This window comes from Homo sapiens, chromosome 12 (genome assembly GCF_000001405.40).
Source record: "Homo sapiens chromosome 12, GRCh38.p14 Primary Assembly".
NCBI lineage: Eukaryota > Metazoa > Chordata > Mammalia > Primates > Hominidae > Homo > Homo sapiens.
The window spans coordinates 81,072,920-81,100,895 of NC_000012.12; the positions used below are offsets into that span (position 1 = coordinate 81,072,920).

Genomic DNA, 27,976 nt, shown 5'->3' on the forward strand with positions numbered 1-27,976 from the left:
CTTTTCATAATCTGTTACCATGATAATGAGATAATTTCTTATATATTTAAAGTTATATTGCCAGTATTTGAGTACCACACAGTGGTATTAGTTAGGAATATGAAACAGACACAGAAACGAGATAATTCTTTTGGAATTATCTCTGCAAAAGAGTTAAAATCACCTTTTAAGGATTTGGGTTATTTGATTAAAATATTAGTAATTTTTATTGAAAATATTTGCCTACGTCGTTGTTCCCTTCATGTTTTTCTCAAATAGAAGTAACTAGATATGGTTTTTTTTGTTAGTTCTTTTTTTTTTTTTTTTTGAGATGGAGTTTTGCTCTTGTTGCCCAGGCTGGAGTGCAATGGTATGATCTTGCCCCACTGCAACCTCCACCTCCCTGAGGCAATTCTCCTGCCTCGACCTCCTGAGTAGCTGGGATTACAGGCATGCACCAACACACTCGGCTAATTTTGTATTTTTAGTGGAGCCGGGGTTTCTTCATGTTGGACAGGCTGGTCTCAAACTCCCGACCTCAGGTGATCTTCCCGTCTCGGCCTCCCAAAGTGCTGGGATTACAGGCATGAGCCACTGCGCCCGGCCAATATGTTTTTTAATTAGAAATAACTTTCAGTTGTTTTGTTTTTTCAGAAATAAAAATAAGATTAGTGGAGGATATTTGGCTGCTAGAATGAACTGGAGTTGTAGAATGCCTTCCCATCTATTGGAATGTTACATGTTTTAAAATGATTCTTTCATCTGCCTTTTTCTTCTTCTTCTTTTTTTTTTTTTAACTGCAGTTACTATTTGGGAATAAAAAGAAAGTTTCAAAATAGGAGTCTACAATTTTATTACTATGTATGATTTCATTTTAGACATTTAAAAGCTATTTTTTAAGCCCTGAAAATCAGTATATTTTCCAGAAACCCTTTGTTAAATCATAATAAACTTGCAGTGTTTCTGCAGGGGCAAACTTCAGCTCAGCCCTGCTGCACAGATGAAGTACTTTATGCAAACCCCTCCACATATACTTGCTAAGTTTTCAAAATATTCAAGAAACCAGAAGCATGGAAGTTACAAGCAAACCTTTTTTTTATTTTTTTGCGACAGAGTCTTGCTCTGTTGCCCAGGCTGGAGTGCAGTGGCATGATCTCGGCTCACTGCAACCTCTGCCTCCCAGGTTCAAGCGATTCTTCTTCTCAGCCTCCCGAGTAGCTGGGACTACAGGTGCTCAGCACCACGCCTGGCTCATTTTTGTATTTTTAGTAGAGACAGGGTTTCACCATACTGGCCAGGCTGGTTTTGAACTCCTGACCTTGTAATCTGCCCGCCTTGGCCTCCTAAAGTGCTGGGATTACAGGTGTGAGCCACTGCGCCCAGCCACAATCAAACATTTTAGTAGCTCTAATACTTGTAGTTAGACATTTGGCTCTTAAAATAGTTAGGTGAAAATATAAATTTTGTGGCCAGCAGAATGCATTATTTTAAAATTGTTACAATTTAACTACTTTCTCTTTCTCTTTCTCTCTCTCTCTCTCTCTCTGGTAAAAACGTTAACCTCTGCTAGTGATGACCAAACCTGGTAAAGATTGTAAAGTGGGAAAAATTGGATTGTAGGATCCTTATATCTTTTCTCTCTTTTAATTATAGTTCCACTCTGTTCTTCCTTTGTATTTCAGCATTTTTTCCTTAGGCATTAGTATTCTTTTTTTTTTTTTTTCTTTTGAGATGGAGTCTTGCTCTGTGGCCCAGGCTGGAGTGCAATGGCCCGATCTCTGCTCACTGCAACCTCCGGCTCCCGGGTTCAAGCGATTCTTCCGCCTCAGCCTCCTGAGTAGCTGGGATTACAGGCCTGCGCCACCACACCTGGCTAATTTTTGTATTTTTAGTAGAGATGGGGTTTCACCATGTTGGCCAGGCTGGTCTCAAACTCTGGACCTCAGGCGATCCGCCTGCCTCAGCAGGCATTAAGTATTCTGACTCCAGTTTTCTCCCCTCCCTTCATTCTTTCTTGAGCAAATTTCCACACCTTTTTATTCTCTCTGATCTTTCTCTGCACTGTCTCCATTATTTTGCTCTTTCCATTTGCTAGAATGCTTCTCTTAAATAATTTTGTCAATAAATCTGCTTATGATGTTTTAAAATGCCATCCTGAATAGCATATTAATTATACCATTATGACATACAATGAAATAAATACTATGCATTAATAAGCTGGAGTTTTAGCATGCTTAACCATTGAAAAGATTGTGATTACCTTGTACCTCAAATTAATTAAAAATATAATTTTATTTTTTGAAATAATACAGAATTTATATACATGCTTAAATTAAAATTGTTTCTTTTGAGAGGTTCTGATTGTTAAATTTTAGGTATGTTAATTTGCAGGGTTGAATTTTTAGATTATTTGGTTGTTCACTGGCTTGGCTGCTGTCCTAAATTAGCTTGGCTTGCTACTGACCCAATGCTAAGCAGTTTACACATATTTGAACCTTGCAACAATCCTGTGAAGTAAGATTATCAGCTTCAGATTACAGATGCAGAAACTGCAGTTCAGAAAATTAACTTTCCAAATTTTCACACCTAATAAGTGGCAGTAGTGTAATAAGATTCAACCTGAGACTTCATGGCTCATGATTTTAATCTTTTCATATGCTTAATGACCAATCAACAGGCTCTTGGTGTCTTAATTTAAAGGCTAATAGTTTATCCTGAGGTACTGACTTGCATTTGACACTATTTACACTCGTCTGTCTGGCTGTTTGTCCAGTACAATCTTCTAGTTCCACTGGCCTTGCTTGCTCTACCTGTACACTGAACACTCTCAAAACCAGACCCACTGCATTTGCTGGATTGTGTCTACACTTATGCTCTCCCTTCAGCCTGAAATGGAGCTTACAGTAACAATCTATTGTATACAATTACTTTCAAAAGAAAAAATGGTATACTGATGGGTCCAGAAAAAGTGGTTTCATCTGGCGATACGGGGGTCTAACTTTGCCTCATGTGATCTTGTAATCAGTTCCTTGTTTTTAAGCTCTGAACTTCATACTTCCTTCTGAACCTTCAGAGGAACCCAGCACCTCCAAAACTTGAGACATACCAGGTTCCTAAGGAGAAAATGGATTCTCCTTAGGAAAATCTATTTTCTCCTCCACAAGCTCCTCCTCCCACTTTTAAATCATATTCCACAGATTCATCTTCTTTCTATTCTTTCATTTGGTTTCTTTTCTTTTCCTGTTCTCTTTATCCTTGTAGGATTTTTACCACGACAACCGCCCTCTTTGATTCTCTTTCAGTGGAGTTTCTTTAAGGAGAAGAATGAATGTGGCTATTCAATTTGTCATATTTTACTGGAATTCTAAGATTTTTTTTTTTTTTTTAAAGTAGAAGATACTCAGCCTGGAATTAAAATGGTGGACTTTGGAGTCAGATTCCCCTCCTTGTTCAAGTTGTGGCACAGAGATAAAATGATCGTATTTGCACAGTATCCTGGAGTGAGTGACAGGATTAGAGTGGGTTTTCCCCTAGCCCTCCACCTTGAGGTGTCAGTAAATTGTATCACGGCATATCTGTAATTCAAAGCATCTGGGCTTTGAAATACTGGGCATCCATAAAGTTTGAATCCTGACTGTTTCACTTGCTAGCTGCGTGGCCTTGGGCAAGTCGATCTATCTCTATACTAGCTCCATTTGTAAACATGGGATTATGATTCCCACTTCTTGGTACTTTCATGAGAATTACAGGAGCTAACATTTGTTTAAAGTGCCCAGTATAATGTGAACACATGCTAGGTGCCAATAATAAATCTGTCGTTCTGGAAGGATGAAGAGGTTAAATGGCTTTGTAACTTTCTCTGGATTTAAATGGTGACTGTGTCTTTGGCCATTCGACATTATTTGATTTGAGACCTTTGGAAGGACTAAAGTAGACTGCAGATGTCAGGGAAAAGTCTAGTGCCTTGCCTCTCAGTGGAAAGGGAGGTGGTTATTTAAAGAAATATTCTCTGTTTTGCATTGCACTTACCTCTGTTCTGTTTAGCCTTTATCTCCACATTATTCTTTTCCTGCAGAATCATTTGTTTACGGATTCTCAAGTTATGATCCTTCCCAAGGTCAGGGGCATGCCACTATTTCTCACCTCAGATTTGGAAATACGTATCTTTACATTTAAAACTGCAAATACTGTCACACCAAGACAGAATGTGTTTGGCATAATATTAAGGCAAAAGATTGCATCTGAATCTCGCTAAAGCATGAATAATAGCGGAGCTTGACGAATGTTAAACCTAGACAGTACTATATACCACCTTTCTTTTTACATTTTCCCAGTTTCCTCTTTTGATTCATCTTTACTTACTTCCTATTTTTGTTTTTTGTTTATTTGTTTGTTTTGTTTTCTCATTAGAAAAGCCACAGAAACTCCAAGCAGGCAAATTAGAAGGGAGGCAATGCAACAAGTCCTATCTGTTCTCTGTCTAGATCACATGCGGAGTCTGGTCAGCAGGTGAATCCGCATCCCAGTGGGGTCACCTTCCCTGTGACCTGTCAATCACCCCAAGAAGCACTTCCCAATTTGTCTGGCACAACCTCCTTCCACTCCTCCTACCCTCTCAGTGGTCAGGAAATCCCGGAGCAGTCCTTGCCCTGGAGCTGCTTGTGTTTTTAGTAACCAGGGACTGAGCTGATTTTGAAAAATCAATCAATCAATAAATAACAATCAAAGAGCCTTGCCTCAACGCACCGAGTTGCTGGTTTCCTGCAGGTCAGAGGCGATGCCACCTCCACCAACGACCTTCCAAAGATTAAACCAGCCGTGTACAAACTGCTGGATTGAAAATTGAGAGATGGGCCGTTGGCCTCCTCCTAGGAGTACTTGTGTGTTGAAATCGGAAGGACGTTCTGGAGTTTGAGCGCGATTTTTCCCGGAAGGCTGCGGGGTTGGAAGTGCATGTTGGGGTTTGGATCTCGTGCAGCAGCGCAACTAACCTGCTGCAACGGCGCTGTGACACCCCTGTCCCGGGGCCCCCACTTTAGCCTGTTGCTTCTCTGGTCGCTCCAGGTCGGTTTTTCCCGGCGACTCTAGTGTGGCTTCCAAACTTCTGGGCTCTGGGCTCACTTCGGAATTTGCCCCCGCCCCCTACTCCCTTCCCTCAGGCCCCAGGAAGTTGCAAGAGTACCATTTGTCGCACACTCGGGGACCGCGGGTGGCCGGAGGAGATGAAACCGTCTTGGCTGCAGTGTCGTAAAGTCACCAGCGCCGGGGGGCTCGGAGGGCCCTTGCCTGGGTCCTCTCCGGCCCGGGGAGCCGGTGCGGCCCTCAGGGCTTTAGTGGTCCCGGGCCCGCGGGGCGGTCTCGGGGGCCGGGGATGCAGGGCACTGTCCTCCGGCAGTGGCAGCGAGTACAAGACCCACTTCGCAGCCTCGGTGACCGACCCCGAGAGGTTCTGGGGCAAAGCTGCCGAGCAGATCAGCTGGTACAAGCCCTGGACCAAAACGCTGGAGAACAAACACTCGCCCTCTACCAGGTGGTGAGTGACTTCTGTGCCAACCCTGATCCCCCATCCCTGGTAACTTTTTGGGCGCCAGGACCTCCCTGGGACCTGGAATCTGGCATTCTATCACGAAAGAAAATTGAAACTGGAGATGTGTTCAGACCCCTCAATTCGTGTTTCATTTCAATTTCATAGTCAGTTCTCTTGCCTTCTGCTCTTGAGAGACCCTGTTACCTATTGTGAACCCAGTGTCCCATAAACGGGAGATTTACCTGACTGGCAAGGTTCTGCTTTGGCAGTGGGAATAGTAAGAAAACTAAAACAAGATCCTGCCTCCAGGGACCGCACAGTCTAGTAAGGGAGATACTAGGTAAACAAAGCAAGCGGTACAAGAAACTAGGGAATTATAACTAAGTATCCTCCTACTATGGGGAGGGAGGGTTAAGAAAAGACTTCAATAAAATCGCACCCCATAAGGGTTTGGAAGGATGGGTATGTCTTCTCGAAGTCGACAAGGCCCTAATTATCAAAGTTCTAGAGGTGAACAACAGCTTGAACTGTGACTGAGACAGTGACTGCCAATGATTGTGTTGGCTGGAGAGGTGGGAGGGGAAGTGGTGAGTCAGGGGCTGGGTCCGGAAGGGATTTATGTACTGTGCTAAGTAGCTTGGATCAGATCCATAGGCCTGTTGTGTATATGAAGCTGCAGTATGGGGTACCCAGAAAGAATACAGATAGATATAGGCCAGGTGATGTTAGAAGTCATGGTAGGAGTAAAGTCTTCCACCTGGAGTTGGAATTATAAGAAGTTATAAGCATGATTTTTTTTGCGTTACAACAAACGCAGACACATTGTAGAATAAATATCAAGCTTGCTAAGATACTGAGGGTGAAGCACAGTCAGTGATACTCTTAGAGTGTGGCTCCTTATGTGTCTGCCCTCTGGGGGTGTGATTGCTCTCATCTGCCAGCCATTAGAGAGGATGTTTCCTGTAAAAGTTTGAAAAACACTGCTCAGCAATGAGATGAGGGGAATGATATGGTCAGGTTTGCAGTGGACGAATGGCTCTGTGGTCAGAGCAAGAAATCTGGAATGGAATTGGCTAGAGCCTGTTCTGTGTCTCCACCATGCCCAGTCCTCTCAAAAGTGTGTGGGGATGACATGGTGTTCCCTTTAGAATCTGAGCACCTTGCCCCTTCCTATCAATTATTTTTTCAATAGTATTTGATCGGTCCTCTTTTCTGTGCCAGACAGTGAACAAGACACTGGGTGTTCAACAATGAGTAAAACCTAGTCCCTGCTTTCTAGAAGTCATAAAGATTAAAAGCATGGACTCTGGGGCCAGACTACCTGGTCTGAGTTTGGCTTCTCACAGTTACTGACTGTGTGTTCACAGTCAAGTGACTTAATCTCTCTGTGTTTCACTTTCCTGAAATGCAAATATGGAAATAATTGGAGGCTTAACTTAGTAAAGGATGAAGACTATGTCTTTATACACTAGACCCTATACATGTTAGAGGAAGAATAGCTCTCTTTGTATTCTCAGACCATAATTATCTTAGGAGCAGGAAACTCTCCTAGTATTCCTCAGATGAAAGCACAGAGATTATTGCATCACTGTTTCTCAAAGTTCTGTGTACAAATATCTGTCATAAAATATGGTACTATAAATGATTTTATGTGGCCATCTCCATTATAAAACTAATGTGCAGAGAATTCAGTTAAGAAGCCACAGGTATATTCTAAATGAAAAACAGTGAGGGCCAGACCTAAGGCAGTGGCAATAAGAATGGAGGAGAAAGGACAGATTGGAGTGATTCGAGAGGACAATTAGGGATCAGCAAAGGCCCAGGAGAGAGCTTTGGAAGTGAGTGTCAATGTCCCAGCAAGTAGAGCTTAAGACCAGGAGATTTCCTTTTCAATAATTTGCTTTTTCTTTGTAATATCTAGTTGCTTGTCTACATTTTTTTAAATGGTGTGTATAAGATGTGTTTAATGAGAAATTTTGTGAAAGGGTCACTATATTTTTATAGATCACAATTTGATAACACCGTATCTGAATTCTTTATCTTTTCAGTCTTGAACTCATGCCCAGAAAATCAAAGTGAAGAAGTGATAAAACTTTGACTCTATTTATTTCAGCAGTGCGATTCAATCTTAAAAGAATTCTGGTTGGGCAAGCAGGGTTGGGAGGGAAGTAGACGTAGGAGACCAATCTTAAATTTCAGTTAGTCAGTAGTTTCAATTTGAATCTATGACTGCATTGGATACCTAAATGAAGATAGTCCTGATTGGTTAGCAAATTTCCACAAAGCCAAACAGAAGGGCAGACTGAATTTACTTTTATTTTGTTTGGCTTTATATCCGCAAGATCTAAGGCAGAGCTGGCATATAAATTTTTAAAGTGAGAGTCAACTAACTGGATACATAGCTTTGATGATTTTTGTTGCTATAAAACAAGACACCTCTTTGGGAGGTGATAAGTGGATTTAGGCACAATTTGGTGTGAAGGAGCTTTACTTACTTTCTTTGAAGCTGGGATCTGGAGAAGGGAGATATTGACAGCCAAGTGCTTAAGCAAAACAAGGCGAGATTGCTATAGCTAATTGTTCTCTCCTCTGTGGAGCTGGCATATGTGTAGTCACAGTCTCTGATGCCCTTCGGCTTCCCAGAGGCAAGAGCGATTCTTCATTATAAGCTTGTCTGTTTGTTGTTCACAAAAGTAAACTCCCCTCAGAACCCACAGGCTTATCAAAAGTCTCAGCATATAAATAGTATTGCATATTAGCTTTCACAATGACATAAGCTGTGCAATATTCTATGCATGCAGTAATATAGACATGGAGAATAAATCTTTAAGGGCGATATATGGAAGGGAACTTCCATTGTAGTGAATGACTCTATTAAATGCATTTCCAGTCCTGTAATTTCTAAGACCTTCAAAAAACAAATCCAAATTACAGGTAGGTGCTTTAGGGGTTTATACGTGATTGCTTCTCCTCACAGTTTGGTGGTTACTCCATATTGTTAACACCTGGCTCTTTGGGTAATAAAGTCTCTATTAGAGAGACTTCAGTGGAGAACTGCAATCATAGTAATTTCTTCAGTCCTGGAACAACAAAGTGGAAGTTTCTGGTTATTTTCTCCGGATAGACATCCTGCTGCCTGTCCTGAAATTGAAATCCAGCTGCCACTCTCTGAAGGATTAGTCAATTCACTTTTCTATTATATATTGTGGTTGACTCTCTGGGCCATCAATTTATCTCTTTCTATGGAAGCATTGCAATCCAATTTTAGTTTACTTTTATTTAAACAACATTCAATGATAGGATTCTCATATACCATTTGTTTAGAAATCAATATGTATTAACAGTGACTATAAACCAAAAAGGAAAAGACTAACTAAATGCAGATTATTAGAAAATAACTTAAGCTTGGCTAACATTTCTGTAGTCAAGATACTGTGGGTTTCTCAACATGCAGGATCTGAATTCCTTACTAGCTGAGATTAAGGTTGTTTAATCCTGCCAAGTCTTAAAATGGCTTTTAAGAATTAAAGGACATCAATCATTCACCCACTGCATGTACAGTACAGAGAAAATGATGAAAGAGATAGTGAAGGAACTCACCACACAGCAGCGTGAAAGACATGCATTAAATTATTACAAAAGAGACTAATTTTAAATTTTAGATGCAGGGGTACATGTGCAGGTTTGTTATATGGACATATTGTGTGATGTTAAGATTTGGGCTTCCATTGAACTCATCACCCAGATAGTAAACACGGTACCTGGTAGGTTTTCGACCCTGGCCTCCTCTCTCCTTCCTTGCCTTTTGGAATCCCCAGTGTCTATTGTTCCCATCTTTATATCTGTATGTCTCCAGTGTTTAGCTCCCACTTATAAGTGAGAACATGCATATCTGGTTTTCAACATGATGAACACTATTTAGAGTTGCAGTAGATGCTAGGTAATCCAGCCTTTATTGGGGGATATGATACTGTCTTCTTTAGAAGGATCATGAGAGGGGTCTAGAGGAAATGATGTTTAAACTGAGATCAAAATGAGTAGGAGTTAGACATGTGAGAAGTGGGGAGGAACATTCCAGGGAAAGAAAATAGCATATGCAAAGGCCATGAGGTAGACATGTTTAGTAAGTTCCAGAAACTTAAAGAAGGTTTACTCGGTTGGGACTTAAGAAATGACAGAAAATTATCTTGAGATGGAAGGAGAGAGCCATATCGTGAATGGTCTTTTGAGTTATGTTAAGGATTTTTAAATTTTTTCCTGGCATATAATACCTGTCAGGTAATACATGACCAAAATGTAAATTTCCTATTCCTTCTTCTTCACTGGGTCAATACAGGCTTGAGTTCAACCGTAGCTTTGCCGCTTACTCTGAGAAAGCTTCAATACCTTTATTTGCAAAATTAGAATCATGACGGTATCTATTTCTAAGGATTAAATTGGGTGAGAGAAGCTTGTAAAGTGCCTAGGACTGTCCCTGACACATACAACTAGATATGATTATCTTTGGAATATGAAAGAAATACTCCCGTGAGCTAATGTGGTCCAATAAGTTTTGAGGGGAAGCGGTAGCATTTAGAGTGAATCTTAAAGTAGGACTTAGGAGGAAAGTCATTTATGTTCAGGGAACAAGATGACAAAAACATAGAGGTAAGAAAAGCCAAGTGTCCTTAGAGGATAGTTATAGTAGACCAGCTGGCTTTTAGTGGCTTGTCTGAGTTGCTGGGACTTACTTTCAGAAAATAGTTTCAGCCTGCTTTTAAAAGGCTTGGAGTAGCAAGCTAAGGCATTTGCATTTACTTCTTAGGTCACAGCAGGGCTGAAAGCCTGCAGGTAGGCTTTGTTTGACCTACAAGTTTTGTTTGTTTAATTTGTTGGCATTTAAATATTGGAATATAAAAATCTAAATTTCCTGTAAAAAATTCAGCTTTTGGTCTTTTTTTTTTTTCTTTTGAGACGGAGTCTCACTCTGTCACCCAGCCTGGAGTGCAATGGCATGATCTCTGCTCACTGCAACCTCCATCTCCCCGCTTCAACCATTTCTCCTGCCTCAGCCTCCCAAGTAACTGGGATTACAGATGTGCACCACCACACCCAACTGATTTTTGTACTTTTTTTTAGTAGATTTGGGGTTTCACCATGTTGGCCAGGCTAGTCTCGAACTCCTGACCTCGTGATCCGCTCACCTCGGCCTCCCAAAGTGCTGGGATTACAGGCATGAGCCACCGTGCCTGGCCCTTGGTCTCCTCTTTAAAGAAGAAAAAATGGGCAGGGCGCAGCAGCTCACGCATGTAATCTCAGCACTTTGGGAGGCTGAGGCAGGCAGATGACGACGTCAGGAGATCCAGACCATCCTGGCCAACATGGTGAAACCCCATATCTACTAAAAATACAAAAATTAGCTGGATGTGGTGGCACACACCGGTAATCCTAGCTACTTGGGAGACTGAGGCAGGAGAATCGCTTGATCTAGGGAGTCAGAGCCAAGATTGTGCCACTGCACTCCAGCCTGGTGACAGAGTGAGACTCTGTCTCAAAAAAACAAACAAGAACAACAACAAAAACCCGGAATGTCTGTCGGCGATGGGTCAGTATTCCTGCACAGCAACACTCGGCTGGAACTGAGCAGCTGCTGATCCTTTAAATGGTGCATGTGCTTGTTTGTTATTCACTGTCCTCACCCCTATTGCATTATACTTTGCCTGTCCCAGCCATTAACTTTTCCATTGTGATCATTTTTGTTTGCAGTGCCTCGTAAGGCAGTAATGATCCATGGAAACATTTTGTTAAGAAGGTGATAGGATGAAAGTATTATCAGAAGCCAAGTTTGACTTCAGATTTCAATATTTCTTGGTAGGTTGGGAAATGAGGGATATTGGGAAACATGGAGTAATGAGAACATAAAATAATGTGACTAATGAACTAGGGTAATAGCAGGAGGTGTAGAAAGAGAGGAACTTCAGGAATAAAAATTAAATTACACATAGTGACTTTTTGGCAGCGGGATGCAGGGAAGTAAAGACATGGTAACTGTAAGAATCTGACTTAAATGTCCAGATGAGGAATTGATGGGGCAATTAAAGTTACGAGGCTGAAAACTGGGAGAGAACTTGATGTAGAATTATAGATTTTAGTATAAATCTTAAAGAGGTGAGAGGTAGAAGCTTATGAAAGTTGAAGTGAAAGAGAGAAAGAAAGGGAAGAGAAGAGGAAAATAGTAAGGACTGAACTTTGGGAAAAAGTGGGAGAAAAAAAAACTATGGAAATGGATGAGACATTCAAAGAAAGAGGAAAAGAAAGAGCAAGATATTCTAGTGTCATGCATTGTAAAGGAGAGAAAAGATAAAAATAGTGGTCAAGGGCTCTAGAGATGCTTTGAGGCTATTGAAAATCAAAAAAATATCTGCTGTGACTCAGAGATTCTTGATGACTTTCTATAATATGATATCAATGGTGAGATAAGGGCCAAAGCCAGAATAGCACATTACAGAGTGAACTGGTATAGGCAAAAACATTCCATGAGGATATTCGACAGTGACAGGAAGATGAAACAGGATAATATATGGCAGTATGGTGGTATCTGGGTCAAGTAAAATAAGTTTCTTCCTCATTCCTTATTTCCTCTCCTCCCTTTAAGAAGAAATCTATGTTTAAATGCAGAAGTGAAGAAATTATGAAATAGGAATGAAGGGAATTTTGCTTGTTTTGAAGCCTACTGCTCAACAGGACTCCTTGTTTTTGCAAGTTGAACTTTGTGTGGTTTCTTATGTTAATTTTTTGCTTTTGCTGCTACAAGTTACTGAAAGAAACAGGTTGCAAAAGTCTCAGAATTGGTATAAAGAGTACTCAGTAGATCTGTTTGTTCTTTTTAAATACTACAGTGATTCTAGTGAGCTAAATATCTCAATATTTGTTTGTGAGTCTGACAGGGAGGATAAGGAAGCAGCTGAAAAGGGAAAAGATAATGAATATTTGTTGAGTCCTTTCTCTGAACTATCAACTATACAGTAGAGTCACATATTTCCATTTATTCCTTCCCCAGATGCTGCAAAGTTAGTATTATCATGCCTTTTCTACATATGAGGGAATTGAATCTTAAGGCCACACAGCTAGTTAGCAGAGGCTAGACCTGGGTTAGTATTAATAGCTCCAGTGGCTAAGCCCAGAATCTTTTCCTCCAAATATCAAGGGAACTGTTCCGAAGGCAGGTTGCCAAATCTTGGCCAACCTGAAAAAGATTTTTGGCTACTAAATTGAAGGAGACCAAAGAGATATGAATTAAATGCAAAAGGTAGTTTCTGAATATTTTCACCATAATTGATATTTTTGAGGACAAGTAAGAAGCCAGAACAGGATTTCAGGATTGGATGGTGGTAATGTGTCAATATTAGTTTCCTGAAGTTGATGGTTATAGTATCGTTCTCTAGAAGAATGTCCTTATTTATAACAATTACATATTAAATTATTCTAGGGTTCTTGGGCATCATGTCAGTAAATGTTTCAAAGGGAAAAAAAAAGTACTTTATCTTGTAATCGCAAATTTTCTGTGAGTTTGAGATTGCTTCAAAGGAAAATAAATACAAATATAATGGGGATTTTATGTATCCAGAAAGCAATTTAATCCCCCTATTGAACTTTGGCTCTTTGGCAAACAAATGCTCAGCTACATTAAACTGTTTGGGAAATTCAGTATTTGTCAGATATTTTTAAAATTACATTTAATTCTGGTTTGAAGGTGAGAGTGTTATATAAAGAGGAAGAATTTTTCTCCTTTTGACAAACTCTAAATTAAATGAATTTATTCATAGCGTTGTACACAGTAAAGGTATATTTAAAATATAAAATCATCATTATTTTATAGATTTAAAAATATTTTAAGAAGGTATCTGCTTGGCATGAAAAATTGCCTGTTAGAAATAAGGCCTCTCAAAATAACCTCATCAAGAAAGACCAGTTTTAAAAGATGGGCCTTATTTTATATTCTGAAGGTCAGCAGCTTGGTACTGTGCCGTATCTAATTTTCTCAGCCTGTCATGCTGCTGAACCTTCAGGACAGAACAGAGTGAACTACAGGAATGCTGCAATTACATAAGCAAGGATGGATTGCCTGGCAAATGGCGCAATCAATGAACAATGGAAATTCAATCGGCTGTGACTGATCAACTACTAGGTGTTGGGGGAAAATCCACACTCTTATCACCGCCTGAAAGGTGGCTTACTTTTCTTTTGTCATGCCACATATAGTATTAGTTGAAAGGACAAAAAAAATCCAGTGGTTGAAGTTGTTTGCTTGTTCTTCTTCTTCTTTTTATTTTTTTTTATTCTACTTTCATAAGCAACAAGCTGCAACTCCATGAGGGAGATCATTGCTTTCCACTGTGGTGTGACATTTGTAAGAAAAATGTGTAGGAGGCTAATGAATCTTTGCAATTATATATATGAATGTAATAACCTCTCTAAATTACAGTTTCAAGTATATGTGAATGTGGAGCTCAAATCCTTTATCTAAACTACGTGGATAGGGAACTTGTTATATTAAAGGTATTAATTATATTTGTTTTTGTCAGTGTTTTAGTTGAATGAGGTAAGGAACAGTGCATAGAAAGGATAGGTATTATTTTTATAATATCTTAGGAAAATTAAAATTTGTGAATTTTGAGTTTGAAGGAGTCCAATTGGAAATACGAGGATAGTAAAAAACAGAAGGTCTTTCAAATACTAAATTAGAGAGGGACAGAGTTTAATTATATGGCTTTAATAATTTAAAACATTAATTGCCTTAAGAGGGAGGAAAGCAATTAAAGTCTGTAGGTCTTTGACTTATGACCTGACTCTGGACAATAGGAATACCTTCTCTTAAGGTGTTTATGGTAGAATAACAACACTTGCCAAGTATAATCTTTCAAGGTGTCATTGCTAAGTGGATGCAGCAGTTAAGTAAAATAAATTTGGTAAGATGAAGAAGAAGGAGCAGGAGAAGAAGAAGAGCAGGAGGAGGAGGAAGGAGGAAAGAGGAAGAGAAGAAGAAGAAAAGAAGGAGGAAGAAAAAGAATGCTTAATTTCTACTGTAGATCTGGCCAGTATAGATATCTGTAGAAAAATTTAGTAAGACTAAAAAAAAAATTAGTCACTCCGTATTATTGTCCATTTGCTAAATAACTTTAATCTAATGAGTGCATGGGAGCTTAGAAAAGTCCACTTTTGCGCTAATCTCACTTTGCATTCTCTCCATACATTTTTTCTTATTTTCATAGAATTCCATTGATTTTCAATTGAGAGGCAAGTATTTTTCTATAATAAACCACAAATACCTAGACTGTGCCTTCCTCTAACTCTCCCTCCCAACTCTCCCTCCTTAAGTACAGATGAAATTTGCCACTCTTATCAATGGGATTTGTTGGATACCCTAATTTTGGTGGTTAGGAGGAAAAAGTATTGAGAATTAGTTAGTGGAGAAAACAAACTGATTTCTGGTTCAAAATCTTGGCTCTACTCTTTGAACAGTATCTTGGTCCAAATAATTATAATACGGAAGAATTATAAAATGCATACTGTGATGGGTATTACTATTTTTTGTGTTGTTTCTTTTCTCGTCTGTTCTCTTCTGCTAATATGTAGGAAGATTGGTCTTCCCCACATATACGTGATTATGCGATTAGCTTTGGCCACTGCAATAAGAGGAGCAAGGCTTTTCACTTAGTTAATTGCCAGAGCTTCAATTCTTAGTTCTTTCTCATCTACCATGGCCATTTGGAAGTACATGTAGAATAGAAGCAGTTTGGATTGCTAAGCAAAAACGTATAGATGACAATGTTTTGGGGAGTCTACCTGAACCCACAATGGAGTGGCGTGAGTGAGAAATAAACATTTATTTTTGCAAGTTACTGAGATTTTGCAATCGTTACCGTATGGCATAATCCAGCCTGTCCTTACTGATTGAGGGGTAAATAATAACTTTATGACTGTTGGGATAATTTAGTCTGCTAAAGTACATAAACATTGTCAGGTATATCATAAAATAGCTAACCTTTTTATTATCTGTTATCATAAAAACAGCTGTTATGAAAACAGCTAACAACTAAGCTTTTTATTGTCTCCATAGTATGCGCTAGATACAATACTAAGTGTTTTAATTTGTTTAATATTTATAACAACTCTGTGAGGCAGGGCCAATTTTTATTCTTGTTTAAAGGGTTTGGAAATACAGTTTCTTAAGAAACTTGCCTAAACTTATAAAACTAGTAAATAGCAGAGCTAAGATTTCAACCCAGGCTGGCTGAATTTAGCATCTGTGCTCCTAAATATATTCTATTGCTTGTTGAAAATAGTCTCAATTAATTTTAGATTTTTAAAAATTTTTTAACTCTTCTCCTCTGAAACCGTTTAAAGTTTTTACTTTTCTTTTTAAATAGTGATATAAGAAGAGTTTTTAAAGTTTGGGTCTACATCTCAAAAACATTCTAGATATGGAATAAAAAATAGCTGTTCTTTGAAAAAATAAACTTTTAATTTTTTATTGTGTATGACAGTCCTAAAGGTGGGAGGAAGGGAGCTTTAAATGAGTTGACAGCTTCTTTAGAAATGTTTCCTGGACAATAGAAAGCAATATTAATCTCTTCCTTAAAACTACTCTGTTGATTTTCTGGCTTAAGGAAAATCTATAATGACCACATTATTCATTGCTTATAGTATGCTTTAATGTTATTTTTATAAGAACATGATAAATAGCCTAATTAATTTGTCTAATTATGAACACTTGGAAATTTACTCCTCCAACCTCTCAATAAAAAAATAGGATTTCTTTATATGTTAAGTTGTTGGTTTTATTTACTTTTAAATACGTTGATGTGTACTATTTCTTTTTATTTTTCTTTCATTCTTTTTTATCTTGATCCTAATTCCCTTCTGCATTTTCAAGCAGAAGATATGCAGGTGGAGAAACCTTGATTAATGGCATATGTTAAGTGCAGAGATATATTTCTTGGAAATTGCATTGCAACTGGCTCCCTTAGTTCTAATAATATCCCATTTTTTAGGAATCCAGTGCAAGGTCAATGAGTTGTGTCTCTCACCTGTGTTATTCCATAGATATTGCCAAACTTTGGAAAACAAATGATCTAAAAATGTTAAATGCTTCCTTTGAGTGTTTATGGGATGAGTCAAAAATATATGTGCAGAGTCTGTAATAGAATGAGAAGGAAACTAACATGTGATTATTCTCTAGCTTGTTACTGAGTCATTCCTTTCTGTAACCTGATGTATTATCGTCAATAATGATAATGGTGATAGTAATAATAACAAAACAATGACAATGGCAAAGACTATAGTACTGCTGTTTTGGTACTAATTATGAAGAATTTGATTTGTGTTGGGCCCTATGCTAATCACTATATGTATATTATCTCTTTGAATCTTCCCAACAACTCTTATAATGCATTTTTATAATACTGTAAACAAATGCACAGAAAGATAAGTGGCTTGTCCGAAGTTATACAGTGGTGGACTTAGTTTTTTCAACCCAGTTGGGTCACACTGTAGAGCCTAATTTCAGTTATAAGTTGTAATTATGCTCTCTACCTTCTGTTTTACATAGCAGAACCTAGAGAGTGAAAAAGCATGAGAGCAATGTAGCATTCTTAAAAATGTTAATCGGGATTTAACTTCCCTTTGCTTTATTTGTTCTCTGTGTTTCTGTGTGTTTTCCACTCTCCTCTTATCTTAGAGAAATGTAAGTCCTCACTGTTTTCCCAGAGCCAACTTGCACATGTCTTTTTGATTTCGTCGCCTTTCAATGTCTCTAGGGATTTTATCTTAAAACCTTTAGTGGTTCTTTCCTAAAAAGCATTTCAATCTTGTTTTCTTTTAAGCAAATTTGGCAAAAATGCTCAATGCTCATCTACATTTTGTCACTTCACATCTATTATGTGAGCTCATGCTCTATTGATACTTCTACCAATAATTTGACACATCACCACTCAGTAATAGGAGAGTAGGGTTCAGGTCTAAATTACATTTGTGATCTTCGCAGCAGAATGCACAAAGCCTTCTGTATATATCAGTTGAACTGACATTAAAAACTTCACCATATACAGATTTACCTTCTAATCCATCTCCTAAATCTGATTTTTTATATAAATTGCAGGTAGATACTACCTGAATCATCTATCCAATCAGAACCTCAAATAATCCACAAATCCTCTATCAAGGAACCAAAGAGTTTGAAGTTTTGTCATCTAAGCTTTGGGTCTAAGCTTTATTTTGAGGCAGTTGGCTTCCTTTGCCTCTCCTTAGCTCATTCATTGATCCTTAAGCTGTAGTAGAGGATATTTTATAATCCATGGGTTTCCATTTATCAAGACAAATACATATATACTGCAAGTAGGGAAGGTAGGGAAATACTTCACCTATGTGGGGGATTGGTTCCAGAACACCACCCACTCCCTGCAGATACCAAAATCTGCAGATGCTCAAATCCCTTATATAAAATAGTGTAATATTTGCATATAACCTATGCACATGCTCCCATATACTTTAAATAATCTTTAGATTACTTGTAATACCTAAAACAATTAAGTGCTATGTAAATAATTGGTATACTGTATTTTTCAAATTTGTATTTTTTAATTATTATATTGTTATTTAAAATTAATTTTTCTCAAATATTTTTGATTCACGGTTGGTTGAATCTGTGCATGTGTAACCTGTGGATATGGAGGGCTGACTGTTCCTATATGAGAATGAACTGGAAAAGTTGCCTCTTAGGCACATATGAGATTCCAAGGATCTCAGATTAAGAGTTGGGTTGATATTATGTTATCAGATTGTCATCTTTTAGTAAATATGTTAAGAAAATTAAAATCACAGAATGAAAAAGTGATAGCAATCATATAAAAATGTTGAATTAGAATGCATTTATGTTATCATAAATTATGATAAAATTTTAATATATTAGAGTAAAAGCCTATCTTGATCTGTTAAAAGCTTGAATTTTAGAAAAAATATAAAACTGATTTTATTATTATTTAAAAATATTGGGTCTTGACTGCTCAAGATCTCCTACATATGTCTAGCATGAGCATCGTTTTACTTCGCTAGAATATTTCAAGAGCAGTCTGAAAATGTAATTTGTAATTACAGGCTTAGTAGACCTAATTTGATGAAATTTTCTCTTACCTTGGTTTACTTAATTTATAAAAATATTAATTTTCAAGTTTATCATTAGTAAAAAATACTTTAATAAGGAGGGTTTTAAAAAATTAAATATTTCAAAGACAGTATTTGATGGAAATCGTATAATACCACTCTTAGATCAAAATCTCTTAAATTCTAAAAGATGATTTTACTCTAAGTGTGCATACCTGTGTATGTGTATGTTAAAATGTTACAGGATACAAAACATGTTGGTACATAATAACAGCATCACCTTTTACCATAGTAATTTAACTTCTTAAAAGCATCCTGAGTTCTCAAGAATTTAAGGAAAGTTAAGTAACTTGCTAATGCTCACTTGCCATGCAGAGATAGCAGATCTAGGATGAAAAAACAGACTTACTATGCTTGAGAGTGTATCAGTTTCTCATTGTGTCACGTTTCCTCCCCAATTAATCCTATCTTATCCTCATAATACCAGTGTTACAGATTTAAAAACGAGCTGTGCATACATAAATATATACATACACATATATGTTTGTTAGCCTTTTATATTTATAAAAGTGGGTTTTATTTTGTTTTTTAGCCCTGGAGTTTATTCATTTGTTAATGCATTTGTTTCTTCTTTATTTTGTTCATTCATCCAATATTTACTGAATGACCTCTATGGACCAGGCACTATTCCAGGTGCAAGATGAGAGTCCAGATAGAGTTTAACTCTAAAAAACAATGTTACACATCAAGCGAGGAAAAAGGGCATTTTGCTTATAGTAAAATAGCATTCGTTTTCCTGTTCAATAAAAGAAGAGTAATAACAAGTGATATGGATTATCTAGTTATTATTTTCTGAAAATAAGAGTAACAAAATCCATTTTATTCTACAATCAGTTCTACTCTGAATTGCCTTTGATTGTTGAGGTGTGAAAAACTAGAGCACATAGCGTTCCATTTTGGTGAACAGTGGCCATTTTCTAACTAATGAATCCTTTAATAGATTAAAAAAACAACTAATTTTAATTTTATCCCTTTGTGCAGCCTCTCATTTTTTGTTGGAGGTGAAAACAAGCAGGAAGGCAAGGGAAAGACAAATCAGAAAAGAGAGAATAAAGGGAGATAATGGGTTTCTTAGCACCAGCTAGATAATGAGATCTTCGATAATTGAGCAGGCTGCACTGTATTCACGTTTCAAATTATCAAAATGTTAATGGGAAACGTTTCATCTAGGAATGTGGTTGGAGATAGTGGGGTAATTGACAAAAATATAATAAAGATGTACTTCGTAACATTGTTCTCAGATTATTTTGAGTATAAGGCTAGGAAAAAAAGGATAAAAGTTTTATGTTTTGCTTAGCATTAAAGTTATGTCCAATGGTGTCTATTTAGTGTAGTTGGATTTATCTTTGAGGCTATGTCTAGGTTATGTTTGTGTCTGTGTGTTTAAGGTTTTTTTTTGGGTGCAAGGTATAGGTTGGACATTAGATGGAGATGTAGTGTGATTTAATTATCAAGGGAGAGGTTTTATAAATGCAAGGCCTAGGATTGAGACTTATGTTTAAATTACTTTCACTGGCATTTATTTATTCAGAAATAATTCTGAGCCAGACGCAGTGGCTCACGGCTGTAATCCTAGCACTTTGTGAGGCCAAGGTAAGCGGATCAATTGGGGTCAGGAGTTCGAGACCATACTGACCAACATGGTGAGACCCCATCTCTACTGAAAAATACAAAAAAATTAGACAGGCATGGTGGCTCATGCCTGTTGTCTCAGCTACTCAGGAGGCTGAGGCAGGAGAATCGCTTGAACCTGGGAGATGGAGGTTGCAGTGAGCCGAGACTGCACCAATGCACACTCCAGCCTGGATGACAGAGCGACACTCTGTCCCCACCGCCACCAAAAAAAAAAAAAGAATTCTGATTAAAGTGTAGGTTTATGCCTTTTTTCCCACTGTAAAAATAGGTATTACTTTACATTTTAATTAGGTAAATGCAGGAAAGTCAAATATCTTGCTATATTAGGTATAGTTCCCTTCAGTGTTTTTTTTTTGGAAATAATTATAGACTTACAAGAAGTTGCAAAAATAATGCAAAGAGTTCATTTGTATCCATAATCCAGCTTCCCCCAGTAATAACATCTTACATAACTATAGTACATTATTAAAATCAAAATTGTCATTGGCATAATGCAATGAACTAAGCTATAGGTCTTATTCAGATTCACCAGTTTTTGCACTTATTTATTTATATTTTATGTGTAGATGTTATGCCTTTAAAAAATCAAGAATCTATGTCTGTCAATCTGTTTGACTCCCTGGATCTCTATTTCTGTTCTTATAGAGAAATGGAATTGTACTATCCATCCATATTATTTGGTAGCTCATTTTTTTTCACTTGTAAGAAGTGTTTTTTCCATTTTTCTAATTCATTATTTTTAATGTATACAGAATATTTAACATATTGGGTGAATATATAAATATTTCCTAATCCTTTCATATTGGCATTTAGATGGTTTCTCTTTATTTGCTTTTATAAATCGGCAGATAGACTTGCATCTTTGGGCTTGGCATTCCAAGGATATATTTTTTTTTCCTCTCTCTCTCTCTCTGTCTCTCTCTCTGTGTGTGTGTGTGTGTGTGTGTGTGTTTCTCTTTCCTTCCTTCTGGTAAATTCTTAGCAGATTTCAATGTATATTATCCAGCCATTCTCCAAAAAAATAATAAATATTGTAAGTTCCCACCATCTTTTTCCTTATGAAATATTTGAAGAATAAAGATAATAACTTAGAGGACACTCAACACTGAATTCTGTGAAATCTTAGTATTTTGTCACATTAGTTTCAGATCTTTTTATCATAAGCAGTAAAACATTACAGACACAATTGACGCTCCCTGTGTATCTCTCCCAATTACATGGTATTTACAGAAACAATCTTAGAATAATTTGTAAGGCTCGATGGAAAGGAAAAGTTCTTTTTGGACATTCTCAAATGATTGATTGTATTCCCTCTTTTTAATAGGAGCTCATATTCAACATCTCTCCATGGACATGAGCTAAGTGTTGAGCAGAATGAGTTAATGAATATGCTCTCTGCCTTCTGGGAGCCTCGACTGTAGAGGAGCATTTCATCAGAACATTGCAGCATGTTGTTTTGCATGAGTTATAAGCTGAAAGAGAAAGAAATGGATAGTTAAGATAAAGATGTAATATGAAAAAATGAAAAAATGTATAGTCCTAAAGTTCTCAGGTTTAGAAAACATTAATTTCAATCCTTGTCTATTGCTCTCCTGTCTTCCTCCCATTTCTCCTTAACCAGAGCAACATTAACACCAGGTCAGCTAGTTGGGGTCCTCCTCCCCTGCATCGTGCTGCTGCTGCTCTTTCTCTTTCTTCTCCTTCTCCTCATTTCCTTCTTTGTTCATCATTTCATTATTGTTATCATCAGGAATACATGCTTCTGTTTTTTCCAACAAATACTAGCTGTCATTAGGCAGAGTACACCCTCCATTCCACTCCCTCCTGGTTCTCTGGATAACTCTGAGGTTTCTTCAAAGTTACCCACTTGTGGCCCTGGGGGCATTCTGGATTGTAGGTCTGGTTTCTAGGAACCTGCTCTCATTTGGAGTTTGGTTCTTTGCCAGCTCATCATGACATTTCTGAATTGGTTGACTGGGGACCACTGTTCCTAAGAGAGTCCCTAAAGTGTTATGAAAAGGACTGACTGATGAAGCATGCTTTCCTTTAAAAACTCTACTTTTAAGTTTATGTTATTAGCACTGTATTTGAATTTAATATACTTATGCTTTGAAACCTAAATGTTTTTATCTTTTACTTTGAACCTTAATATTAATCTAATTATCATTTTACATTTTCTACCTTTTTAGATTAAACCAAATCCTATGTCCTTTTACTTAACTTATTGGTTTTTCCTGCATTTTCCTCTAGAATACAAATAAACAAGATAAAATGTATCCTTAACGTCTTTGAATTTACTGTCAGGCATGACTCACAACCGGAGAATCTTTAAGATCATTCATTCATGTCTTTTCACTGACAGTGGATTCAGTTCAGATAACAGGCATTGATTTCCTGAAAGCTTTTCTTTCTATTCTTTTTCCTGTGGGCTGCATTTCTCACCACTGGCAATTCACCTAGCTTTAATCCGAGATGATCTGGCAAGGCGGAAGATGTCTATGTTGTCCTTTCATGTCGAGATGGGACAATCTGGCTAGAGATGGTGTGATGGGGCCAGATTCTGAGTATACATACTCATGTAGGAAGGATCGGTGGGACTAAGGAATGCCTCTGTCTTTACATCAGGTTTCTCTGTTAAAATAATTATCTGTGCTATGGAGAGATGTGCTTTCCAAGTACTTTCACAAAAACAATATCCCTAGTGGTAAATTAACATAAGGCTATTATTCTGTTCCAAGTAAGCAATTACCCAATTTGGAGAGTTTCCTGGAACAGTCAGTTGATACTTCCCAAAGGCCAAGTATCTGTAATTCAGATGGGATATCACTGTGTGAATAAAGCAAAATGTTGCCCTCTTAAAAATACTTAAAGCCTGCTCTGTTTCTGTGCAACAGTAGTCTTTTGAGCTAGTCATTGTTTTTGCTGAGCACTGACTATTTACCTTATAAGAGTCTTTTTATTATTTGTCAGAAGAGAAAGTGTCAGGAGAGAATTTGTAAGGAGAATGTGTCAGGAGAGTATATTACATTTCACATTTATTCACACTTACAAGCTTTTATTTTAAAATAATCATTGAGCATTTGTTGTGTGCCATTAATGAACTAGCATGTGGTCCCTGCCTACAGAAAGCAGAGAGTCTGGGAGGACACAAAAGTACACAAAAAAACATGGATACTTAAAAGCGGACATGCACTTGTACCATTTTCTTTTTCTTCTTTTGTTATTATTATACTTTAAGTTCTGGGATACATGCACAGAAAATGCAGGCTTGTTACATAGGTATACATGTGCCATGTGGTTTGCTGCACCGATCAACCGGTCATCTACATTAGGTATTTCTCCTAACGCTATCCCTCCCCTTGCCCCCCACCCCCTGACAGGCCCCAGTGCGTGATGTTCCCCTCCCTGTGCCCATATGTTCTCATTGTTCTACTTCCACTTATGAGTGAGAACATGTGGTGTTTGGTTTTCTGTTCCTGTGTTAGTTGCTGAGAATGATGGTTTCCAGCTTCATCCATGTCCCTGCAAAGGACATGAACTCATCCTTTTTTATGGCTGCATGGTATTCCATGGTGTATATGTGCCACATTTTCTTTATCCAGTCTATCACTGATGGACATTTGGGTTGGTTCCAAGTCTTTTCTATTGTGAAAAGTGCTGCAGTGAACATATGTGTACATGTGTCTTTATGGTAGAAATTTAAAGTTGTTTAATTTAATTAAACTTTAAAAATCAGTTTCTCAGTTGCATTAGCCAAGTGTGGCTATTGAGCACTCATATGATGGCTACTGTGGTGGAGAAACTAAATTTTAAATTTTATTGTATTTTAGTTAATTTAAATTTAAATTTAGTTAGACACATGTGGCTAGTCGTTACCCTACTGAGCAGCAGAGACATAGAACATTTCCATTGTCACAGAAATTACTAGACAGAGCTGCTCTAGAGAAGGGAGTGGGAATGCTTTTCTTTTCAGGACCAGATTGAATATTTTTGGCTTTGCAGGCCAGACCAGTTCCATTGCAATCTCTCAGTTCTGCTGTTGTAGAGCAAGAACAGCCACAGAGAATACACATAAATCAGTTATATGTTCCAATAATGTTTTCTTTGCACAAACACATAGTGGACCAGTTTGACATGTGAGTTGTAGTTTGCTGACCCCGGCCCTAAAACTTTGGTTTCTTTTGTATTCGTTTTCCTTACTCTTTTCCTGTTTGCCTCTAAAATTTTCCTTTACAGTATTCCATATTTCTCAAACACCTCCCTGCTTCCATCTTTGTTATCACAACACACTTCATTGTTTCAAAACACTATAAATGATCACCCTCCACTTGTGTCCTGCTCCTGCCCATTCTACCTGTGACCATAGAGCTATGCCCTCCTAACTCACTTTAGCCAGTCTGCTCATCTGTTAATGTGTGTAATAATAGTAATTGTCTGATGTGGTTATTGAAAGGAGCTAATGAAATGTGTATAAAATTACGATCGTGGAAGGCATGAACATTCTCACATTAACACATTAACACAGAATAGTTGAGACTCAGAGCCCAACTAACACTAATACCAGTGTGTCACTCATTGTGTGTGGACCTCAGGTAGGAAACTTGTCTCTACCTCAGTTTCCTCATATGTAAAATGAGGATTATTGGATGTAGTAGGTCCTTGAATAACGGCATTTTGTTCAACTTTGTTTTGTTGTAATATTGAAGTGGAAAAAAAAAAGAACAATTCTTGGGCAGCGCCACTGTCTGTGTGTGTTGTTTGCATGTTCTACCCATGTATGGGTGGGATTATTCCGGGTACTCTGGTTTCCTTTCACATCCTAAAGATGTGCACATAAGGTGAATTGGCATATCTAAATGGTCCCAGTATGAGAGAGAGAGAGAGAGAGAGAGTGTGTGTGTGTGTGTGTGTGTGTGTGTGAGACTGTGCCCTGCGATAGGATGGTGTCCTGTCTGGGGCTGGTTCCTGCCCTGTCCCCTGAGTTGCTGAGATAGGCTCCAGCCGCCCACAACCCTGAGCTGAATAATTGGGTAAATAATGCTCTTAGTGGTTGTTATTTATCTTTTTTAAATGTATGGATAGCTCATATTTATTTCAGTGTTTACTATTAGAAGTGTTTTGGGTCCTTATTTAGAAATTTGATGATGTTTTTGTGACCAGAAATATGCCCTAGGAACTTAACACTTGTTTATATCAATTAGCCTGTGGTGAAATTAGTTTCCTTGTATGTCATTTTGCTTAAAGTCTCCATTTCCAAAATCCTATTGATGATGTTAAATGAAGACCTACTGTATTTACCTCACAGAGTCCTCATGAAGATTAAGTGAGTTAATTTGTGTTAAATGCTCATAGCATTGTCTTGATACAATTCTTTAAAATTTTTCCCTAAGGTTTATAGATGAAAAAAGAAAGTCTTAAACATGTTAATTTGTCTGCAGTCATTTAAATAACTAGCAAATGACATGGCTAAGATTCGAACTCTAGTCTGTTGGCCTCAAAGCTCAGGCCTTAACATTGTACTACATTCCTTTTCACATCCATCAGCTCCTTACCACATTCCCTAGTTTAGAATTAATCTCTTTCTTATTATGTGCTTTCATCATGCTTAGTTTGTACCTCTGTCAGGAAATTTGCCACATTTTGCATCTTATCATAGTTATTGCAAACCAGTCTTCGTTTTGAGAGTGGAGAACATGTTCCCAGTTATAATGTTTCCCCTTCCTTCACAGTCTCTGGTCCAATCAATAGAAAATTATTATGAAATGTATTAAATAGAAACACTTTTGAATAGAAAAATTATTATAGTTAATATTTGGGATTCTAATCTGTTGTAGTCTTCTTATGAGTTAATGAATTTTTTTATAAAGATTATATATTCACCTTTTTTTAGTATATAGATAATCAAATGTAGCCTTCATCTTTGAATTGTTTCCAATATGTTGGCTTTGGTTGATTCTACTTTAGAAAAAGAGCCTGAAGTTCTTTTGTTTTATTGTTTATTTATTTATAAATTGTGATGAAGACCCATGTATATAGGAGGTCATCAAGGAAATAAATTGTAATGTTATTCTAAGAAGGAAGCTCATAACAGAAAGTAAATATAAACCTGAACTTTTCAGTTATTTAATAATAAATACATGCAAAGTGCAGAAATCAGTGACTGAGAACACAGATAAAGTTGCAACATTATGACAACTAAATATGGTTGTGTTGGAGGAAGCTTTCAACAGTTATTTCATACAAAGTGCGATATGGCACTTTTTGAGAATTTCATATTATAGGCCACACTGTTAAAAATATATTAAGCTTTGTTATTGGAATGGGAGAGGATGGTGGAATTGAGAGAAACATTTTAGATTTTACTAATTTAACTTTCTGTAGCTCAGTAACCAAATTTGCAGATTAAAAGCTGTCCGTTACTCTCTGAAAAATGGCTATCATTCACTCTGAAAGAAGACTTTTTTTTTCAGTATCAGTCTTATTCCCTTTTATAATATTTGAATAGTAAATACATATTTAAATTAAAAATTTTTAGCTCTCAGAAAAGGGAAGGATGGAAATTGGCAGTGATGAAAAAATTGATGGGAAGAGAAGAATCATGTAAACATTTACTACTAGCCACTTCTGGCACCCAGAGATCAAGACCATGGAGGACAGGCTCCCTACCTCTTAAAAACCCTTCAGATATCCACACACGTTCACTGACTTAGCTCAATGTGTGAACCAAATACATGCCCCAGTCTCACTAATTTGATAAACAAGGCCACAGTCAAACATAGAATGGGTGAAGTTAACATTAGGAAAGACAGCGAAGACTCAGGGTAGGCTAAGGTGAAGAAGAGAACAAATCAGATTCAAGCAAGAGTCTCTCAAAGGGCTGAGTCCAGGTTTTTATGCTGGATGTGAGTTAGCAGGCATTAATGAGCAAGGGGCAAGGACAAATGCAAAATTACCAGTTTTTTTTTTTTTTTTTTTTTTTGAGATGGGGTCTTGCCATGTTGCCCAGGCTGGAGTGCAGTGGCTATTCACAGGTGTGATTATAGGAGAAAATAGAAAATTATGTAAAATAAGAAGTCCAAAAGGAATTTTAAAAGCTATCTTCTTTACAGATCGCTTTGGGGAGGCCCTCAGTCCTGTCTCTGAGAGCTTACATGATGAAGGTGCATCTTTGACTTCTTTACAAGGACATCTAACATTTCTGTAGTGACTATTTATTTACAGGAGCTGAGATTCTACCCATTTCATTTGCCCTGGAGTGCATCCCTCTGCCTCTTAAATTATGAAATACAACAATTTCAAAGTTTATTTGAATTTGCCGAAACTGATAGATCTTAAGAATCTTATATCAGTCAGAATAGCCTAGGCTATGCTGCAGAAATAACCCCCAAATCTTCCTAGTACATCATAGCCCAGGTATTTCTCGCTCATCCTACAAATTGATCTTGGGTTATTAGGAAGATTTGCCCCAGGCCATCCATCCTCACTCAGAGATATAGGCTGACAGTACAGTCAACATTTGGGATGTCACAGGCTTTTGTGGCAGGGAGGCAGGGAGGAGGATATGTAGTAAGTACCCACTGGCTTTTGGAGACTACTTTGCCTGCATTCCTTCTCTTGTTAGGCCCTGGGCTACAG

At 37.6% G+C, this 27,976-nt stretch overlaps 1 protein-coding gene and 1 long non-coding RNA gene across 9 annotated transcripts in view, besides 2 other annotated features; one reads left to right on the forward strand and one right to left on the reverse strand.

Annotated features, from left to right (window-relative positions):
* Positions 1-4,951: 4,951 nt before the first annotated feature.
* ACSS3 (acyl-CoA synthetase short chain family member 3) overlaps positions 4,952-27,976 on the forward strand; it is a 183,340-nt gene continuing 160,315 nt past the window's right edge. For 4 of the 6 annotated variants that reach the window (XR_944720.4, NM_001330243.2, NM_024560.4 and 1 more), the window contains exon 1: positions 5,160-5,512. Coding sequence is in view for 3 of the 6 variants with exons in the window: in NM_024560.4 (NP_078836.1) it covers positions 5,202-5,512 (311 nt within the window). In the remaining 3 variants the exon portion in view is untranslated. Of the gene's footprint in view, positions 5,044-5,159; positions 5,513-27,976 lie in introns of those variants that run through there. The other 2 variants (XM_047429549.1, NM_001330242.2) reach the window with 2 other exon arrangements.
* Positions 13,310-13,937: an enhancer, noted in NCBI's record as "NANOG hESC enhancer chr12:81480008-81480635 (GRCh37/hg19 assembly coordinates)". NCBI's record gives its function as "activates a minimal SCP1, AML or CMV promoter by ChIP-STARR-seq in naive H9 embryonic stem cells {active_cell/tissue: H9 hESC(naive)}" and the evidence as "EXISTENCE:reporter gene assay evidence [ECO:0000049][PMID:30033119]".
* ACSS3-AS1 (ACSS3 antisense RNA 1) overlaps positions 20,879-27,976 on the reverse strand; it is a 32,061-nt gene continuing 24,963 nt past the window's right edge. For all 3 annotated transcript variants that reach the window (XR_001749226.2, XR_007063390.1, XR_001749225.2), the window contains one exon: positions 20,879-21,813. This is a non-coding gene — a long non-coding RNA (ACSS3 antisense RNA 1). The remainder of the gene's footprint in view (positions 21,814-27,976) is intronic.
* Positions 22,585-23,086: an enhancer, noted in NCBI's record as "NANOG hESC enhancer chr12:81489283-81489784 (GRCh37/hg19 assembly coordinates)". NCBI's record gives its function as "activates a minimal SCP1, AML or CMV promoter by ChIP-STARR-seq in naive H9 embryonic stem cells {active_cell/tissue: H9 hESC(naive)}" and the evidence as "EXISTENCE:reporter gene assay evidence [ECO:0000049][PMID:30033119]".